This window comes from Homo sapiens, chromosome 2 (assembly GCF_000001405.40).
Source record: "Homo sapiens chromosome 2, GRCh38.p14 Primary Assembly".
In the NCBI taxonomy this organism is placed as follows: domain Eukaryota; kingdom Metazoa; phylum Chordata; class Mammalia; order Primates; family Hominidae; genus Homo; species Homo sapiens.
The window spans coordinates 112,596,029-112,617,730 of NC_000002.12; the positions used below are offsets into that span (position 1 = coordinate 112,596,029).

Genomic DNA, 21,702 nt, shown 5'->3' on the forward strand with positions numbered 1-21,702 from the left:
TTATGGATCTTAACTCGACTTTTAAATTTTCTTTGAGCATCTGGGAATTTTATGAAAGCACTTTGTTAGTTTCTATTAGTGTCCCCTATATCCAAAATTCTCATTAAAGAATGCCGTTTCCCATCTCTCAAGAATTTATCAATTCAGGCTGGGCATGGTGGCTTACGTCTGCAATCCCAGCACTTTGGGAGGCCAAGGTAGGCTGATTGTTTAAGGTCAGGAGTTCAAGACCAGCTTGGCCAACATGGTGAAACCCCGTCTGTACTAAAAAAACAAAAATTAGCTGGGCATGGTGGCAGGTGCCTGTAATCCCGGCTATGCGGGAGGCTGAGGTAGCAGGATTGCTTGAGCCCAGGAGGCAGAGGTTGCAGTGAGCCGGGATCACGACGCCACTGCACTCCAGCGTGGGCGACAGAGTGAGAGTCTTTTTTTTTTTTTTGAGACTCACACTGTGCACAGGAAGAAAATTATGTGAATGTCCTTCCTAACAGGGAGAGGCCTTCCCTGACCTTGCTCCCCTTGGGCTGCCATCAGCATGGGGCTTTCTTAGGTATCAAGGCCACCTCAGTTTGGAGAGATGCCAGAAGTGGAAGTGTCAGCCAGACCATGTTTTCATTCTACTTGTCTATATTAGATCAAAGTCAGAGAGAGAATCTCAGTTCATAGAGGGAACACTTTATAACCTGTGTTTATGGAGGAGAATCACATACCAAGTGGAATCACCTTGAAGCAAGGCTTGTGTGCCGGGGGCGATGGCTCGTGCCTGTAATCCCAGCACTTTGGGAGGCTGAGGCAAATGGATCACTTGAGGTCAGGAGTTTGAGACCAGCCTGGCCAACATGGTGAAACCCTATCTCTACTAAAAAATACAAAAATTAGCTGGGCATGGTGGTACATGCGTATAATCCCAGCTACTCGGGAGGCTGAGGCAGGAGAATCGCTTGAACCCAGGAGGCAGAGGTTGCATTGAGCCAAGATCATGCCACTGTACTCCAGCCTGGGCTACAGAACGAGACTCCATCTCATAAATAAATAAATAAATAAATAAATAAATAAATAAATGGGATTTCGAGACCAGGCTGTCCAACATGATGACCATGTTTGTATTAACTTAGCTGGGCGTCGTGGCACATGCCTGTGATCCCAGCTACTTGGGAGGCCGAGGCAGGAGAATCACTTGAACCCGGGAGGCAGAGGTTGCAGTGAGCCGAGATCATGCCATTGTACTCTAGCCTGGGTGACAAGAGCGAAACTCTGTCTCAAAAATAATTAAAAAAAAAAAAAGTGGAACCGTTTAGTAGATAATAATCACATAAAGAGTTATCAACTCTTTCCCTGTGTCAATGTTAAACATTCCCACCTCCACCTTCATCACATACTCTGTTGGAGAAGGGTACTTCTCTGACCCATAGCCAGGGCTGGCTGGTGAGACTTGTGTTAGCCAATGAGAGGTGAAAAGATGTGACATATGCCACATCTGGGCGGAAGTTTTAAATGGCATGCATCTTGTAGCTTTGCATTTTGTGTTTCATCTCTACGTTGTGGGAATGGCCTTAGAGGATGATGCTCATTCAGTCCGGGACCAGGAATGAGAATAGAAACTGAGCAGAGCTACAGGTCAACCTCAGTCCTCATTTAAATGATCAAGAACTACATGCTTCTTGTTGTAAGCCACTGAGATACTGTGGTTATTTGTTACAGCAGCAAAACCTCAGTGATACAATAGGAACAGGCAACTCACAAAAGAGGAAAGGAAAAATATGCAGTCTCTCTAACCATTAGAGAAGTGTAGATTCCAGTGAGATTTTTGGTCCTTCAGATTGGCAAAAACTAAAAAGTCTGATAATATCTAATGTTGACAAGAAAATGTAGAACTAGGCTGGGTGCAGTGGCTCATGCCTGTAATCCCATCATGTTGGGAGGCTGAGGTGGGTGGATCGCTTGAAGCCAGGAGTTTGAGACCAGCCTGACCGACATGGAGAAATCCTGTCTCTACTAACAGTACAAAAATTAGTCGGATGTGGTGGTGCATGCCTGTAATCCCAGCTACTCAGGAGGCTGAGGCACAAGAATTGCTGGAACTCAGGAGGTGGAGCTGAGATCATACCACTGCACTCCAGCCTGGGTGACACAGCAAGACTCTCTCTCAAGAAAAAAAAAAAGAAAGAAAAAGAAAAAGAAAATGTAGGCCAGGCGCAGTGGCTCACACCTATAATCCCAGCACTTTGGGAGGCCGAGGCCGGCGTATCACCTGAGGTCAGAAGTTCGAGACCAGCCTGACCAACATGGAGAAACCCCGTCTCTACTAAAAATACAAAAATTAGCCAGGCATGGTGGCACATGCCTGTAGTCCCAGCTACTCGGGAGGCTGAAGCAGGAGAATTGTTTGAACCCGGGAGGCAGAGGTGAGCCAAGATTGCGCCATTGCACTCCAGCCTGGGCAACAAGAGCAGAATTCTGTCTCAAAAGAAAAAAAAAGAAAAGAAAAATTAAAAAGAAAAGAAAATGTAGAAATAGGGCCAAGCGTGGTGGCTCACACCTATAATCCCAGCACTTTAGGGGGCCAAAGTGGGAGGATAGCTTGAGGCCAGGCGTTTGGGACCAGCCTGGGCAACATAGTGAGACCCCATCTCTTAAAAAAAAAATTAAAATAAGTAGAAAGTGTAAAAATAGGTACCTCATAAGCTATTGTTCATGGTACACACATTTTGGAGGAAAATTGCTGATACATTCCAAACTCTGCATGCTTGTTTGTGCCCGAGTTCATTTGGGATTGGGAGGGGAACTGAAATCACAAGAGAAATATTCAAGGGGTTCTCACACTCTCTTTGTATTGTTTGAAATCTTGTGACAATTAATTTATGTATTACTTCAACAGTTTGTAGGAAGCTTAATTTTTTTTTTTTTTTAGATGGAGTTTCGCTGTTGTTGCCCAGGCTGGAGTGCAGTGACACAATCTCAGCTCACTGCAACCTCTGCCTCCTGGGCTCAAGCGATTCTCCTGCCTCAGCCTCCCAAGTAGCTGGGATTACAGGCGCCCACCACCACACCCGGCTAATTTTTGTATTTTTAGTAGAGATGGGGTTTTGCCATGTTGGCCAGGCTGGTCTCAAACTCCTGATCTCAGGTGATCTGCTTGCCTCGGCCTCCCAATGTGCTGGGATTGCAGGCATGTGCCACCACGCCTGGCCAAGTTTTTATTTTTATTTTTGCTGTATTATTTATTCCTAATTACTTTGAATCATGCTAGTTCATGTGGTCTTTAAAAGTTTTTACTCTTTTTGATTAATTTTTATGTGTTAGTCTTGGATTGATTGACATTTTAATGTTAATTCTTTTGTTGCCATCATTTAGATATTTGTACCTTTCTTTTGAAGTTATACCTATCCTTCACTTAATGACTAATTTATTCCTAAAAACTTTGCTGCTAAGTGACAAACCTGCATATGAAAAAAATATTTCTATTAATTTTAATGAGAAAATACATCATTTATCTCAATCCAAGACACGTGAATAATTTTAATAGAAAAAAAATCAACCAAATAAAGAAAACATATTTATGTCAGTAGTAAACAACAATTTTTTTTTTTTTTTTGAGACGGAGTCTCCCTCTGTCTCCCAGACTGGAGTGCAGTAGCATGATCTTGGCCCACTGCAACCTCCGCCTCCCGGGTTCAAGCAACTCTCCTGCCTCAGCCTCCTGAGTAGCTGGGGCTACAGGCACGCGCCACTACGCCCGGCTAATTTTTGTATTTTTATTAGAGACAGGGTTTCACCATGTTGGCCAGGCTGGTCTCAATCTCCTGACCTCGTGATCCACCTGCCTCGGCCTCCCAAAATGCTGGGATTACAGGCGTGAGCCACAGCGCCCAGCCCAACAAGTTTAATGTAAATAAATATTATGTGCATAGAACTTCGTGTAATGTAGATATGTTGCCTTCCCCAAAAGAGGAACTCAGGACTTGACCATCGGGGAAGGGGCATTTTTCATCTTGCACCATTGTCCTCACCAATTTTTCAGTCTTTTGGGAGCTCATGATTACAGTGCCCTCAAACTTTACAGAAAATAAACTTATGGCACCCCAAATACGTTTGAAACAAAATTAAGGCTAAGCAAGGGCGTTTCCTAGCATGGAAGCATGCATGGAATTAAGATGCTGGCTCTGCCGCCGACCAGGAGGTGGCGCTGTCCCACACAGACCAGAGGCAGCTGCTTCCACGTGAGGCCTCCGGCTGGGAACTGCGCATGGAGATTTTGGGGTGTGTCTTTGCTGGAAACCCTAAGGTCAAGTATTACTTCTTACAGTGTACTTATTTAGTGTGTTTTTGGGGAGTCATTATACTGTAAAAAGGGAGTCATTACAAAAAGTGGCATAACTTTAGTTATTAACTGAATGGTGCTATGTGCAGATAAGTCCATAGCCCTGTATTTTAAAGATAATAGTTTATTCTTTCTACTTCTTAGGTTGGACATTGATTACACACATGTTTATTATAATATTTTTAAGAACACAAAATAAATGAAAGCAGGGTATGTATAGAATGGTGATGAGAGTGTATTATGAAACAGATTTTGATCTATCTAAGTCTGAGCTCTCTTGAGGTACAAAAATTAGAAGGAATTAGTAAAATTAAAACCTGATGTGAATAAAACAGGAAATAAAAACAAGGCAAAAGATGATTGAAAGGATTAATCTCAAATTGCTTCTTTCAGGATAAACTATATGCACCCTTCAGGAGACTGAATAGATAAAGAAAGTAAAAGGTTAAAAACAGATGCATTTAGAAATCAGAAAGGAATGTAATCAGAAATTGTCTGGAGGCTACTGCATGCCACTCTAGTAAAAATATTTCCTGCTGAACTTCTAAGGATCATATTTGACACAAGATGTAGAAAACACAAGTGTCCTAGTTACTGTGGAAAAGTTTGGAAAGGTGATTAAAAAAACGTTGTTTTTATTTTTTGAGACAGAGTCTCACTGTATCGCCCAGGCTGGAACGCAATGGCGTGATCTCGGCTCACTGCAACCTCCGCCTCTCAGGTACAAGCGATTCTCCTGCCTCAGCCTCCCAAGTAGCTGCAACACCACGCCCCGCTAATTTTTGTATATTTATTAGAGACAGGGTTTCACCATGCTGGTCACGCTGGTCTCGAACTCCTGACCTCGTGATCTGCCCACCTCTGTCTCCCAAAGTGCTGGGATTACAGGCATGAGCTACCATGCCCAGCCAAAAAAAAAAAATCGTTATATATATATATAAAATCTCCTTTCTCAGATTTTCCTCCTGTGGACATTTTGCTTTATTTGCTTCATTGCTTTTCTTTCTCTCTGTTCTTTTATTTTTGGAGACAGCATCTTGCTATTGTTCAGGGTGGCAACAGCAGTGGTGTGATCATGCAGCCTCGACCTCCTGGGCTCAAGTGATCGTCCTGCCTCAGCCTCCCACATAGCTGGGACCACAGGTATACACCACTATGCCCAGCTAATTTTTTTTTTTTTTTTTTTTGGTAGGGGTCTTGCTATGTTTCCCAGGCTGTTCTCAAATTCCTGGGCTCAAGGAATCCTCCCACCTCAGCCTCCCAAAGTACTGGGATTACCGGTGTAAGTCACTGTGCCCGGCCTCTCTCTGTTCTTAACATTTTTTTTCCCTGAACAATTTGAGAATGTGTTGCAGACATCATGGCCCTTTACCCCAGATGTAGTGTAGAGTGCACTAGTGAGGGAGCTTCTGGTATCAATGGGAAACTCACTGGTGGAGTCTCCATAGGCTAGGAGTGACAGTGAGATACGATGCCATTGAACTGGGCTCCCTAGGGTTAATGGGAGTGACAGGATTCTGAAATAGCAGAGGCAGGTGGAGGCACTTAACCATCAGAGACAAAGTGAGTACAAATTACTGGAATGGGCAGCAAGCCTGGACTGGTAGTCAGGGTGCCGTGATACGCAGATACCTGTGGCAATGGCCAATGGTCCACACAGTCCCCTGGGGAGAACACCATCCCATGGGGGATATTGCCTAGAGTATTATTTGACTGTATAACCAGGAAAAATGAAGATCTGGGGAGCAGAGCCCTATGTCATCTTCCACAATGAAAATCACAAGTCTGGCCAGGCACCATGGCTCACACCTGTAATCCCAGCACTTTGGGAGGCCAGTGTGGGTGGATCAGGTGAGGTCAGGAGTTCAAGACTAGCCTGGCTAATATGGTGAAACCCCGTCTCTACTAAAATACAAAAATTAGCCGGGCGTGGTGGTGGGGACCTGTAATCTCAGCTACTCACGAGGCTGAGGCAGGAGAATCGCTTGAACCCAGGAGGCAGAGGTTGCAGTGACCCGAGATCATGCTATTGCACTCCAGCCTCGGTGACAGAACAAGACTCCATCTCAAAAAAAAAAAAAAAAAATCACATGTCAGTTCTCAAGCTCAGACCCTGTTGACAGAAGGGCAGCCCAGTTCCCCCGAGGAAGAATCCGACAATGCTACTGCAAATACATGCAGCAAGTATTCCTCTAGCTCTTTGTTAAAGGGACCGAGCCATGTTCTAGGGTAACTGTCCACTATAGAAAGGGAAGTACCTAGATTTCTCAAGGGCCATGGAATACCAGGTTCATGAAATCGGTACCAGAGGATCTGAAATGCCACTATAGATCCCTGCCTAGAGTGGGCACGGGAGACAAGGTAATAAGCGGAGTCCTGCCTCATGTTTGTCTCATGTTTGTCCAGTGGGCCCACAGTTCCCTCTTGAAGTTATTTCCAGGTCTCTTAATTGGGGTGGATATACTTAGCAGGTAGCAGAACTTGCATATTAGTTCTCTCACCAATTATGTTAGGCAGGTCCAAGCATCAAGTGTCAAGATGATAAATAAAAAATAACACCACGTCTGGAGAATTGCAGAGATCAGCACCTCCATCAAAGACTAAAGATGCAGGGAGGATGGTTCCTATCATATCGCCATTTGGCTCATATGTATAAAAAACCATATGGATTGTGGTGGATGACTGTGGGCTTCCATCAACTTAACCAAGTGATAGCCGAAATTGTAGCTGCTAGGCTGGATGTTTACCTGAACAGATCGATACAGCCTGTGGCACTTGGCATGCAGCTATTGATCTGATAAATGCATTCTTTTCAATCCTCATGAGTAAAGAGACTCAAAGTTATTTTGTTCACATGTAGGGAAGGCAGCAGAATAGATTTACCTTCTTGCCCCAGTGCTATGGTAACTCTTCTCCTCTCTATCACAGTATGATCCACAGGGACCTGATCATCTTGCCATTCCACAGAACATAATGCTAGCTGGACTTGGTTGAACAAAATATGGCAGGTACTCTGAATGACCAGATGCCAGTTGGTGGGAGACAGGACTCCCCTCCCCTAAAATTCGGAGGCTTTGCCATATTGGTGACATTTGTAGGGTCCACTGGTCTGAAACAAGTTGCTGTACCTTAAGCACCCCCTATTGCTAAGAAAGAGGCATTTTGAGGCATCATATACCACACTGGCAATACAGCATTTACTCATTTATCTCCTAGTTCAAATAATACCCAAACAATGAGACCCTGCAGCAGATCCAAGGTGTGGGGCAAACTGCCCTGCTCTTTGCCTTCTATGCCAGCGGGCTCAGTGATGCTAGTGTAGGCATAGTAGATCAAGATGCCGTGTGGTGTTTCTGGAAAGTCCACTGGGAGAATTGCAGCACAGACCCCTAGAGATCTGGAGCAAGACTATGCCTTCTGTAACAGACAATTATTTGCCATTCATTGGAAAAGCAATTCTTGTCATACCATTGGGCCCTAAAAGAGATTTTGAAATTGACCATGGGGCATCAAGTGACTTTGCACCTGGAGCTGCCTTTCAAGTATGATAGAAATGGTCATTCAGGAGCAGGTCGAGAACATAAGTAAGTTAAATGGACACATGGCCCAGATCCCCAGGTCATCCACCTCGGTTGCATTGAAGCCATTGACTCAGCTGATGTCCATAGCCTCAGGTAGGTGTGTATGATCAACTGATAGAAGAACAATCCTGGGCCTTGTTGGTGTGAGCTGAAATAGACTGTTATCCACTGAAGTAGACTGCTATCATACTACAGCCCTACTCAAGGTGGCCCTCAAAATAGCCATGAGGGGAAATCTTCCCAGCAATCAGAGCTGAATAGTGTATTTGGCCATCCACTTTGTATAGAGGGAGAAGAGGCCTGAAGTAGGTATGAGTATGGACTCCTGAGCTGTGGCAAATGGCTTGGCTAGTTGGTCAGGGACCTGGAAGGACCAAGTTAGGCAAAAGGGAGACAAGGAGATTTTGTATTTTTAGTAGAGATGCAGTTTCGCCATGTTGGCCAGGCTGGTCTCGAACTCCTAACCTCAGGTGATCCGCCCACCTCGGCCTCCCAAACTGCTGGGATTACAGTCGTGAGCCACCATGCCTGGCCTAGTAATTAACTTTACATATTTTGACATTCATAATTAACATGTATAAAATCAAGAAATAGCTCTACTGTCCTTCAACTATATAAGGATATTTGATTACATTAACCTCACATCCTCTCCCCCTTACATGCTGTGTTTCTCTTGCTCTTTTGGGCCCAGAAGACATTCTTACAGGGTACTGTACCATCAGTGTTCTTTGTTCTTTCCTGCGTCTCTGATCTTCCTGGATTACTCTTCTGCATAAGCACATCCTTCAGAATTTATGGCAGCTCTTTTTGGAGCAAACCCTCTATATCGTTAGCCCAAAAATGTCTTTATTTTACTGTCATTCTTGAAATATATTTTTGTTGAATATATAATTCCAAGTGAACAGCCTGTGTAGAAAAAAGTTAACACAGCAGGCCTGAGCCTGCTATTCTCGGAAAAGTCGGCTTGCAAGGTTGGCCCTTGGCTGGCATCTAGTCAGTTGGATTTCCATCATTCTCTCATCGGAGTGTCTCACTGTATCTAAAGTGTTCAGCTTATGCTGAACACCTCTTTTCCTTCTGAGAGTCTAGAATTTTGGTACATGCCAGACAGTGGACGCCAATGTAAGTACCTTCCCTGCATTAAAACCTTACACACTGAGTCTCTAATGAGCCTCCCTGGTAGACAATGTTTCACATGTGTTGTCATAACCTGTTGCTGGAGGAATTACGTGCATCCTGTGGATTCCATTGGGAAAGGACTCTTGGAAGCTTGTGTTGCACCCAGTAGGAACTTGGCCTGGCCTGGCACCCCATGTATTACCTGGCCCCTTTAATGATGATGTTTGAGTCTCTGATTTTCAGTGTTAACTTGGATCCTGTGTCCAATAGTTCCTGAAAGGTCGATTATTCCCTTTTCCCCAGTGTACATTTACCTGAGTACATGCCCTCAGGTCTTTCTGGAGAAGGATTGGAGGGAATCATTACCACATACATTTGCCGTGATGTAGGATCCTCCCTTATGTGGGCTGGCATCCCATTCAGTCAAGGGGTACTGGCTCAGGTCTAGAAACTGATCAAAGGATCATAGTTTTTTATTGAGATGTGTCTTGAGCCTTGATCATTTCTGATTCCCTCTGATTGCATAAATTAAGCTGTATTTTGCCCTTAGGAAAATTATGTCCTATTATCATTTCTATAATACTCTCTCTCTTTTTTTTTGAGACAGAATCTCATTCTGTTACCCAGGCTAGAGTGCAATAGCACCATCTCGGCTCATTGCAACCTCTGCCTCCTGGGTTCAAGCGATTCTCCTGCCTCAGCCTCCTGAGTAGTAGGGATTATAGGCACCCACCACCACGCCTGGCTAATTTTTTGTATTTTTAGTGGAGACTGGGGTGTTTCACCATGTTGGCCAGGCTGGTCTTGAACTCCTGACCTCAGGTGATCCACCCACCTAGGCCTCCCAAAGTGCTGGGATTACAGGCGTAAGCCACAGCGCCTGGCCCATCTCTATAATTCTCTATGGGAACAGACTCCCCTGCCTGTCATACATTACATCTGTTCTTGCCATGTATTACAGCAATCTCACCCAGCATTCTTCTGGCAGTGAAGTGTTGTCACCTGGCCTCTATTATTTCAGGACTCATCCTCATTAGTATTGGGAACATAGCTCTGTAACATCATCTCCCACGATCAGCCCACAGTCACCACCAAGCTTCTTGCTGATGCTGGTGGCCCCATTGAACAGCACATTCCTCCTCGTTTGGATAAACAGAAGGTGCCCACGGCTCCCCTGTGGACTGCGGTGACCTGGTGGGTTTTCTTTCCTCAGTAGCATATCCACTCCAGCATGCCTGCTTCTCTGAGCCACCTCATTCCTGTATCCACTATTGCACGGCATTTCTGGCAGTTCTGCTTTCCTGGGGGATATTGCTTTTTCCAGGCTTCCATGAGACCATTGAGTGGAGTGTTAGTACTATCTTCACCTCCTTGCTGGGGTGTGAATCCCATACCCCACAGCAGCACTCTCGCATCAATAAACTTCCCTTTATCCAACTTTGTCCCACTTGATGCAGCATGAGGAGAGCCAGCCCCGTGTGTCTCCCCAGCACCTACTGGACATTTGGCCACGTCCTGTGGTTCCTTCATGTATCATTCTTTCCTCCCTTAGTAGACCGAGTATCTTCCTGTCAGATGGCCAAGCAGCAGCCCCTAAGCAGCAGCCCCTAAGCAGCAGCCTGGGGGAGCCACAGCTGCTATGTATCAAGCACAAGGCAAGGCCTGGCTGACATGCATGGTCAGGAAAGCAACAAGGAGCCATTTTTTAGATCAGGCAGTTTATATTACTCATACAGATGGTGAAAGCGCAAGTAGACAGAGGTGCCAGGTCCCTGTGACCCTTGCACAGGGCGGCACCAAAACAACAGGGGCCAAATGGCAGCAACATGAGTGCCAGGTGAAGCCCATACCACACTGCAGCCAAGCAGCTTTATAGCTGGTAGCTATGCACATGCTCTCAGGGATGGGAAGGCATAATTCTAGGTGGTCCCCAAATTCCCACTCCCTCATATACATGCCTTGTATCATCGCCTCCCGTCGAGTGTGGGTGCTAATTCTAAGCTACAGACAAGCATTTTCCCCTTCCTTCCTAAGCTACAGCCAAGCCTGCCTGCCTGCCTTCCTTCCTTCCTAAGCTACAGTCAAGCCTGCCTTCCTTCCTCCCCTCCCTCCCTCCTTTCTTTCCCTCCCCTCGCCTCCCCTCCCCTTCTCTCCCCTCCCCTCCCTTCCCTTCCCTTCCTTTCCCTTCCCTTCCCTTCCCTTTCCTCCTTCTCCCTCCCCTCCCCTCCCCTTGCCTCCCCTTCCCTGGCCTCCCCTTCCCTTCTTCTCCCTCCCCTCCCCTCGCCTCGCCTCCCCTCACCTAACCTCTCCTCCCCTTGCCTCCCCTCCCCTCCCTTTGCCTTCTCTTGCCTTCCCTTCCCTTCCTCTTTCTTTTGACAGAGTCTTGCTCTGTTGCCCAGGCTGGAGTGCGGTGGTGTGATCTCATCTCACTGCCTCGGCCTCCTGAGTAGCTGTGATTACAGGCATGCGCCACCATGCCCAGCTTCTTTTTTTTTTTTTTTTTTTTTTTTTGTATTTTTAGTAAAGACGGAGTTTTCCCCATGTTGGCCAGGCTAGTCTCAAACTCCTGACCCCTAGTGATCTGCCTACCTTAGCCTCCCAAAGTGCTGGGATTACAGGCATGAGCCACCGTGCCTGGCCCAGCCAAGTGTTTTCTAGTCTGCAGCTATACTCAGAGGAGGGCAAGGCATGGAGTCTCATGCTTACCAGAACCAGGGAAGCAGGTGATAAACTGGCTCGGGAGAGTTCTGAAGAAGACTGCCCATCTTGAAACCGCCTTTGCCAAAATTATGGGGAATTATGACAGTGAAATAGATCAGACCTAACTGACTCCATCTTGCTTCTAACCTCTAAACTGTCCTTATCCATTCCTGGGCATAGGCCGAACTAGCCTTGGGAAGGAATTTAGTTTATAGTTTAAATAACAGCCCTTCCCAAAAGCAAATCTGTTCTTGTAAAACGAATGAAAGGCCACCAGCCACCAAGTTAGGATGAGAGGGGCTGGAACTCTAAATATTACCAGCTGTTACGTGGAAGGTCATGAGATTTGCAACTTCCCTGATTACTCTTGAAGATAACATCACCATTGTGAACCTGAGATTGGCCTTTTGAGATGTCTTTTCAGGTTTTTCCATTTCTGACAAGTGGTTGGCCTCACCTGGACCTGCCAACCAGTTCTGTGGCACTCACCCAGGAACTGACTCAGCATAAGAGGATAGCTTCGACTGCCTATGAGTTCATCCTCAAGCCAACCAATCGGTGCTCCTGGCTCACTGGACCCCTACCCACCAAATTATTCTTAAAAACCCTGATCCCTGAGTTTTCTTTTCTTTTCTTTTTTTTTTTTTTAATTATACTTTAAGTTCTGGCAAACATGTGTACATCGTGCAGTTTTGTTACATAGGTATACACGTGCCCTGGTGGTTTGCTGCACCCATCAACCCGTCACCTACATTAGGTATTTCTCCTAATGTTATCCCTCCTCTAGCCCCCGACCCCCTGACAGGCCCCGGTGTGTGATGTTCCCCTCCCTGTGTCCATATATTCTCATTGTTCAACTTCCACTTATGAGTGAGAACATGTGGTGTTTGGTTTTCTGACCTTGTGATAGTTTGCTGAGAATGATGGTTTCCAGCTTGATCCATGTCCCTGCAAAGGACATGAACTCATCCTTTTTTATGGCTGCATAGTATTCCATGGTGTATATGTGCCACATTTTCTTAATCCAGTCTATCATTGATGGACATTTGGGTTGGTTCCAAGTCTTTGCTATTGTGAATAGTGCCACAATAAACATACGTGTGCATGTGTCTTTATCATAGAATGATTTATAATCCTTTGGGTATAAGCCCAGTAATGGGATTGCTGGGTCAAATGATATTTCCAGTTCTAGATCTTTGAGGAATCGCCACACTGTCTTCCACAATGGTTGAACTAATTTACACTCCCACCAACAGTGTAAAAGCATTATTTTTCCACAACCTCTCCAGCATCTGTTGTTTCCTGACTTTTTATTTATTTATTTATTTTTTTATTGAGACAGAGTCTCGCCATCTTTCCCAGGCTGGAGTGCAGTGGCACGATCTCAACTCTTTGCAAGCTCTGCCTCCTGGGTTCACGCCATTCTCCTGCCTCAGCCTCCCGAGTAGCTGGGACTACAGGCACCTGCCACCACGCCTGGCTAATTTTTTTGTATTTTTAGTAGAGACAGGGTTTCACTGTGTTAGCCAGGATGGTCTGGATCTCCTGACCTCGTGATCCACCCACCTCGGCCTCCCAAAGTGCTGGGATTACAGGCTTGAGCCACCGTGCCCGGCCTGTTTCCTGACTTTTTAATGATCGCCATTCTAACTGGCATGAGATGGTATCTCATTGTGGTTTTGATTTGCATTTCTCTAATGACCAGTGACGATGAGCATTTTTTCATGTCTGTTGGCTGCATAAATGTCTTCTTTTTAGAAGTGTCTGTTCATACCCTTTGCCCATTTTTTGATGGGGTTGTTTGCTTTTTTCTTGTAAATTTGTTTAAGTTTTTTGTAGATTCTGGATATTAGCCCTTTGTCAGATAGATAGATTGCAAAATTTTTCTCCCATTCTGTAGGTTGCCTGTTCACTCTGATGGTAGTTTCTTTTGCTGTGCAGAAGCTCTTTGGTTTAATTAGATCACATTTGTCAATTTTGCCTTTTGTTGCCATTGCTTTTGGTGTTTTAGGCATGAAGTCTTTGCCCATGCCTATGTCCTGAATGGTATTGCTCAGGTTTTCTTCTAGGATTTTTATGGTCCTAGGTCTTACATTTAAGTCTTTGATCCATCTTGAATTGATTTTTGTAAAAGGTGTAAGGAAGAGGTCCAGTTTCAGTTTTCTGCATATGGCTAGCCAGTTCTCCCAACACCATTTATTAAATAGGGAATCTTTTTCCTATTGCTTGTGTGTGTCAGGTTTGTCAAAGATCAGATGGTTGTAGCTGTGTGGTGTTATTTCTGAGGCCTCTGTTCTGTTCCATTGGTCTATATCTCTGTTTTGGTACCAGTACCATGCTGTTTTGGTTACTGTAGCCTTGTAGTATAGTTTGAAGTCAGGTAGCATGATGCTTCCAGTTTTGTTCTTCTTGCCCAGGATTGTCTTGGCTATGCAGGCTCTTTTTTGGTTCTATATGAAGTTTAAAGTAGTTTTTTCCAATTCTGTGAAGAAAGTCTGTGGTAGCTTGATGGGGATAGCATTGAATCTATAAATTACTTTGGGAAGTATGGCCATTTTCACGATATTGATTCTTCCCATCCATGAGCATGGAATGTTTTCCCATTTGTTTTTGTCCTCTCTTATTTCCTTGAGCAGTGGTTTGTAGTTCTCCTTGAGGAGGTCCTTCACATCCCTTGTAGGTTGGATTCCTAGGTATTTTATTCTCTTAGTAGCAATTGTGAATGGGAGTTCACTCATTATTTGGCTTTCTGTTTGTCTGTTATTGGTTTATAGGAATGCTTGTGATTTTTGCACATTGATTTTGTATCCTGAGACTTTGCTGAAGTTGCTTATCAGCTTAAGGAGGTTTTGGGCTGAGACAATGGGGTTTTCTAAATTTACAATCATGTCATCTGCAAAGAGAGACAATTTGACTTCCTCTCTTCTTATTTGAATACCATTTATTGCTTTCTCTTGCCTGATTGCCCTGGCCAGAACTTCCAATATTATGTTGAATAGGAGTGGTGAGAGATGGCATCCTTGTCTTGTGCCGGTTTTCAAAGGAATGCTTTCAGTTTTTGCCCATTCAGTATGATATTTGCTGTGGGCTTGTTATAAATAGCTCTTATTATTTTGAGATATGTTCCACCGATACCTAGTTTATTAGAGTTTTTAGCATGAAGGGGTGTTGAATTTTATCAAAGGCCTTTTCTGCATCTATTGAGATAATCATGTGTCTTTTGTCTTTGGTTCTGTTTATATGATGGATTACGTTTATTGATTTGCGTATGTTGAACCAGGGTTGCATCCCAGGGATGAAGCCAACTTGATCATGGTGGATAAGCTTTTAGATGTGCTGCTGGATTCAGTTTGCCAGTATTTTATGAGGATTTTTGCATCGATGTTCATCAGGGATATTGGCCTGAAATTTTTTTTTGTTGTGTCTCTGCCAGGTTTTGGTATCAGGATGATGCTGGCCTCATCAAATGAGTTAGGGAGGATTCCCTCTTTTTCTATTGTTTGGAATAGTTTCAGAAGGCATGGTACCAGATCCTCTTTGTACCTCTGGTAGAATTCGGCTGTGAATTCATCTGGTCCTAGACTTTTTTTGGTTGGTAGGCTATCAATTACTGCCTCAATTTCAGAACTTGTTACTGGTCTATTCAGAGATTCGACTTCTTACTGGCTTAGACTTGGGAGGGTGTATGTGCCCAGAAATTTATCCATTTCTTCTAGATTTTCTAGGTTATTTGCATAGAGGTGTTTATAGTATTCTCTGATAGTAGTTTGTACTGCTGTAGGATCAGTGGTGATATCCCCTATATCATTTTTTATTGCGACTACTTGATTCTTCTCTCTTTTCTTCTTTATTAGTCTGGCTAGCAGTCTATCTATTTTGTTGATTTTTTCAAAAAACCAGCTCCTGGATTCATTGATTTTTCGAAGGGATTTTCATGTCTCTATCTCCTTCAGCTCTGCTCTCTTAGTTATTTCATGTCTTCTGCTAAGTTTTGAATGTGTTTGCTGTTGCTTCTCTAGTCCTTTTAATTTTGATGTTAGGGTGTCAATTTTAGATCTTTCCTGCTTTCTCTTGTGGGCATTTAGTGCTATAAATTTCCCTCTAAACACTGCTTTAAATGTGTCCCAGATATTCTGGTACATTGTGTCTCTATTCTCATTGGTTTCAAAGAACATCTTTATTTCTGCCTTCATTTCGTTATTTACCCAGTAGTCATTCAGCAGCAAGTTGTTCAGTTTCCATGTAGTTGTGCAGTTTTGAGTGAGTTTCTTAATCCTGAGTTCTAATTTGATTGCACTGTGGTCTGAGAGACTGTTTGTTATGATTTCTGGTCTTTTGCGTTTGCTGAGGAGTATTTTACTTCCAATTATGTGGTCGGTTTTAGAATAAGTGTGATGAGGTGCTGAGAAGAATATATATTCTGTTGATTTGGGGTGGAGAGTTCTGTAGAGGTCTATTAGGTCTGCTTGGTCCAGAGCTGAGTTCAAGTCCTGAATATCCTTGTTAATTTTCTGTTTCATTGATCTAATATTAACAATGGGGTGTTAAAGTCTCCCACTATTATTGTATGGGAGTCTAAGTCTCTTTGTAGGTCTCTAAGAACTTGCTTTATGAATCTAGGTGCTTCTGTATTGAGTGCATATATATTTAGGATAGTTAGCTCTTCTTGCTGCATTGTTCCCTTTACCATTATATAATGCCCTTCTTTGTCTCTTTTGATCTTTGTTGGTTTAAAGTCCGTTTCATCAGAGATTAGGATTGCAACTCCTGCTTTTTTTTGCTTGGTAAATATTCCTCCATCCTTTTATTTTGAGCCTGTGTGTGTCTTTGCATGTGAGATGGGTCTCCTGAATACAGCACACTCATGGTTCTTGACTCTTTACCCAATTTGCCAGTCTGTGTTTCTAATTGGGGCATTTAGCCCATTTACATTTAAGGTTAATATTGTTTTTGTTTTGTTTTGTTTTTGTTTTTGAGATGGAGTCTCACTCTGTTGCCCAGGCTGGAGTGCAATGGCACCATCTCAGCTCACTCAACCTCCGCCCCCTGGGTTCAAGCAATTCTCCTGCCTCAGCCTCCCGAGTATTACAGGCACCTGCCACCAGGCCTGGCTAATTTTTTTATTTTATTAGAGATGGGGTTTCACCATGTTGGTCAGGCTGGTCTCGAACTCCTGATCTTGTGATCCGCCTGCCTTGGACTCCCAAAGTGCTGGGATTACAGGCATGAGCCACCATGCCCAACCCAAGGTTAATATTGTTATGTGTGAATTTGATCCTGTCATTATGATGCTAGCTAGTTGTTTTGCCCGTTAATGCAGTTTCTTCATAGTGTCGATGTTTTTTACACTTGATATGTTTTTGCAGTGGCTGGTACTCATTGTTCCTTTCCATGTTTAGTGCCTCTTTCAGGAGCTCTTGTAAGGCAGGTCTGGTGGTAACAAAATCCCTCAGCATTTGCTTGTCTGTAAAGGATTTTATTTCTCCTTCACTTATGGAGCTTAGTTTGGCTGGATATGAAATTCTGGGTTGAAAATTCTTTCTTTAAGAACGTTGAATATTGGCCCCTACTCTCTTCTGGCTTGTAGGGTTTCTGCCGAGAGATCTGCTGTTAGTCTGATGGGCTTCCCTTTGTGGGTAACCCGACCTTTCTCTCTGGCTGCCCTTAACATTTTTCCTTCATTTCAACCTTGGTGAATCTGACAATTATGTGTCTTGGGGTTGCTCTTCTCAAGGAGTATCTTTGTGGTGTTCTTTGTATTTCCTGAATTTGAATGTTGGCCTGTCTTGCTAGGTTGGGGAAGTTCTGGATAATATCCTGCAGAGTGTTTTCTAACTTGGTTTCATTCTCCCTGTCACTTTCAGGTACATCAATCAAACGTAGATTTGGTCTTTTCACATAGTCCCATATTTCTTGGAGGCTTTGTTCATTCCTTTTTATTCTTTTTTCTCTACTCTTGTCTTCTCTATTTCATTAAGTTGATCTTCAATCGCTGATATCCTTTCTTCCACTTGATTGATTTGGCTGTTGATACTTGTGTATTCTTCACGAAGTTCTCATGCTGTGTTTTTCAGCTCCATCAGGTCATTTATGTTCTTCTCTACATTGGTTATTCTAGTTAGCAATTTGACTAACCTTTTTTCAAGGTTCTTAGCTTCCTTGCATTGGGTTAGAACATGTTCCTCTAGCTCGGAGTTGTTTGTTATTACCCTCCTTCTGACGCCTACTTCTGTCAGTTCGTCAAACTCATTCTCTGTCCAGTTTTGTTCCCTTGCTGGCGAGGAGTTGCGATCTTTTGGAGGAGGAGAGGCGTTCTGGTTTTGGATTTTTCAGCCTTTTTCCACTGGTTTTTCCCCATCTTTGTGGATTTATCTACCTTTGGTCTTTGATGTTGGTAACCTTCGGATGGGGTCTTTGAGTGGACGTGCTAATCCTTTCTGTTTGTTTCTTTTTCTTCTAACAGGCCCCTCTGCTGCCAGTCTGCTGGTGTTTGCTGGAGGTCCCCTCCTGACCCTGTTTTCCTGGGTATCACCAGTGGAGGCTGCAAAGCAGCAAAGATTGCTGCTTGTTCTTTCCTCTGGAAGCTTCGACCCAGCAGGGAACCTGCCAGATGCCAGCCAGAGCTCTTCTGTATGAGGTGTCTGTCAGCCCCAACTGGGAGGTGTCTCCCAGTCAGTATACACAGGGGTCAGGGATCCACTTGAGGAGGCAGTCTGGCCCTTAGCAGGCTCGCATGCTGTGTTGGGAGATCCGCTGCTGTCTTCAGAGCCATCAGGCAGGGACGTTTAAGTCTGCTACAAGCCTGACTGGGCTGCTGCCTTTTTTACAGAGATGCCCTGTCCAGGGAGGAGCAATCTCGCAGTCTGAACACGGCAGCCTTGCTGAGCTGCAATGGGCTCCACCCAGTTTGAACTTCCCAGCAGCTTTGCTTACACTGTGGTGGTAAAACCGCCTGCTCAAGCCTCAGCAACGGCGGACGCCCCTCCCCCTACCAAGCGCCACCGTCCCAGGTGGATCTCAGATTGCTGCTGTGCTGGAAGCGAGAATTTCAAACCAGTGGATCTTACTTTCCTGGGCTCCATGGGGGTGGGAACCGCCGAGCCAGACCACTTGGCTCCCTGGCTTCAGGCCCCCTTTCCAGGGGAGTGAACAGTTCTGTCTCGCTGGCGTTCCAGGTGCCACTGGGATATGGAAAAATAAAATAAAATAAAAGCTCCTGCAGCTAGTTCAGTGTCTGCCCAGTTGGCCGCCCAGTTTTGTGCTTGAAACCCAGGGCCCTGGTGGGGTAGTCACCAGAGGGAATCTCCTGGTTTGCAGGTTGTGAAGACCATGGAACAAGTGCAGTATATGTGCCCAAGTTCCTCAGGCTGAGACCCTCACAGCTTCCCTTGGGTCAGGGGGAAAATTTCCCGATTCCTTGCGCTTCCCAGGTGAGGTGACACCCCACCCTGCTTCCGCTCAGCCTCTGTGGGCTGCACCCACTGTCCAACCTGCCCCGGTGAGATGAACCAGGTACCTCAGTTGGAAATGCAGAAATCACCCACCGTCTGCATCGATCTCGCTGGGACCTGCAGACTGGTGCTGTTCCTATTCGGCCATCTTGAACCTCTCTCCTGATCCCTGAGTTTTCAGAGAGACTGATTTGAGTAATAATAAAACTCTGGTCTCCTGCTCAGCCAGCTCTGCATGAATTACTTTTTCTCCATGTAATTCCCCTGTCTTGAAAAATGGGCTTTGTCTAGGCAGGGGGCAAAGTGAACCCACTGGGCGGTTACAATCTCACCGTGTTTCAGGAGCCTCGGGTGTTCTTGCACAAGGGGAGTCAGACTGTGGTTGAGCCTTGTCTACATGGCCTAAGTGAAGACATGCAGGGTTGCCAGGGCACTGTGGAGTTGGCACTCCATACCACCATGCTGGACCTTCCACATACCCCGCTGATAATTCTTCTGGATATTGTTTTTTTTTTTTTTTTTTTTGAGATGGTGTCTCACTCTGTTGCCCAAGGCTGGAGTGCAGTGGCACAATCTCGGCCCACTGCAACCTCTGCCTCCGGGTTAAAGCAATTCTCATGCCTCAGCCTCCTGAGTAGCTGTGACCACAGGTATGTGGTACCACACCTGGCTATTTTTTGTATTTTTAGTAGAGACAGGGTTTCACTATATTGGCCAGGCTGGCCTTGAACTCCTGGCCTCAAGTGATCCACCCACCTCGGCCTCCCAAAGTGCTGCAATTACAGGCATGAGCCACTGTGCTGAGCCTGGGAATTCTTTTTTTTTTTTTTTTGAGATGAGGTCTCACTGTGTTGCCCAGGCTGGAGTGCAGTGGCACAATCTTGGCTTACTGCAACCTCTGCCTCTTGGGTTTAAGTGATCCTCCCTCCTCAGCCTACCAAGTAGCTGTGACCACAGGTGTGCACCACCACACCTGGTAATTTTTGAATTTTTGGTAGAGGTGGAGTTTCACCTTGTTGCTCAGGCTGGTTTCAAACTCCTGAGCTCAAGTGATTTGCCCACTTGGGCCTCCCAAAGTGCTGATATTACATGTGTGAACCACCATGCCTGGCCTGGAAATTCTCCATCACTTACCTTAGATGTACTGGTAGAAGGTTGGACCAAATCCTTTTCCTTAGGCAACATTAAATGAGAGTAACCATGATGATGACTCCCAGGAGGACAATTAGGCCTGCTTGGAAAAAGATAGGCTGCAATCAGACTTCCCATCCAGAGCCAAGCCAGTTAGGTATGTCATTAATTCAGATGTCCTACTTGGCTGGCTGGCAGAAAATCCAGGGCAATGTGATCATCCATTACCGCTCACACTTGATAGCCCAAACTAGGTGCGTGGTAGGCAATTATATGCCTGATATCCACCATAAGAAGTGCTATTCATTTGGGGCAAAACTGTAAGAGTATAAGTCTCCGGCTATCGTAGCCCAACCTAGTCTCAATGCTACGTCCTGCTCAGGGCGAATTAGATTCTGCTAATAGGTTTGGGTGACCACAGCAGCAGCACAGTGCTGACGTGACGTCAAGGTCCAATTCTCACAAGACTGGAGGCTGGGATTAACAATATAAAGGAAATTTAAGTATCAGAAAGAGCCTGAAAGAAGGAATAGTTCCTGGAAGAATACTTCCAAAGTACTCAAAGGAGGAGATTTTTTTTTTTTTTTGAGATGAAGTCTTGCTCTATCCCCCAGGCGGAGTGCTTTGGCACGAACTAGGCTCACTGCAACCTCCGCCTCCTGAGTTCAAGCAATTCTCCTGCCTCAGCCTCCTAAGTAGCTGGGATTACAGGCACATGTCACCATATCTGATTAATTTTTCATATTTTTGGTAGAGGCGGGGTTTCACCATGTTGGCCAGGCTGGTCTCGAACCCCTGATCTCAAGTGATCGACCTGCCTCAGCCTCCCAAAGTGCTAGAATTACAGGCATGAGCCATCGAGCCCAGGCAGGAGGAGCTATTAAAAGTTTGTCAGCAGGGTCAGGAGGGGTAAGACAGATTGAGCAACACAAGGAAGTTTTGTTATTTTTTTTAGGTAGTGGAAGGGGACCAGAGATACCAGCAATAATAGGATAGGAGAAAGCAGGAAAGAAACCTAAGTGTCCAGAAAATTATCTTTTTTCTGATGTCTTGGGCAGAAGTTCTCCACTTCTAAAGTTGGAGGTCCTCGATTTAAGGTCTCTCGATAGAATGGGAGTAGTAGTTAGACTGAGGGCAGTGGTGATAGCCTGGACAACATGACAAAAAGATTCTGAGATGACAGGCCAAGCCAGGTGTTCTGCAGGCAAGAGCCAAGAGAGATCTAGAGTGTTCCTTCACCACCATCCTGGGCTTTTGATGTTTTTTCATGGCCATGAGATAGGTATAGCTAGTCCCTGCAGTCCTCACTCAGTCTAATACACACCATATGGCTGAGTTTATTCCTAAGCAGTGCAGCTTTGTGTGTGTGTGCGTGTGTGTGTTTGCAACTTGTGCCATC

At 44.9% G+C, this 21,702-nt stretch overlaps 1 long non-coding RNA gene across 1 annotated transcript; it reads left to right on the top strand.

The window, feature by feature from the left end:
* The first annotated feature begins 3,830 nt into the window (after nucleotides 1–3,830).
* Nucleotides 3,831–19,396, top strand: LOC124907869 (uncharacterized). The gene is made up of 2 exons (XR_007087193.1): nucleotides 3,831–4,285; nucleotides 18,185–19,396. It is a non-coding gene; the product is annotated as an uncharacterized LOC124907869 (long non-coding RNA).
* The last annotated feature ends 2,306 nt before the right edge of the window (nucleotides 19,397–21,702 follow it).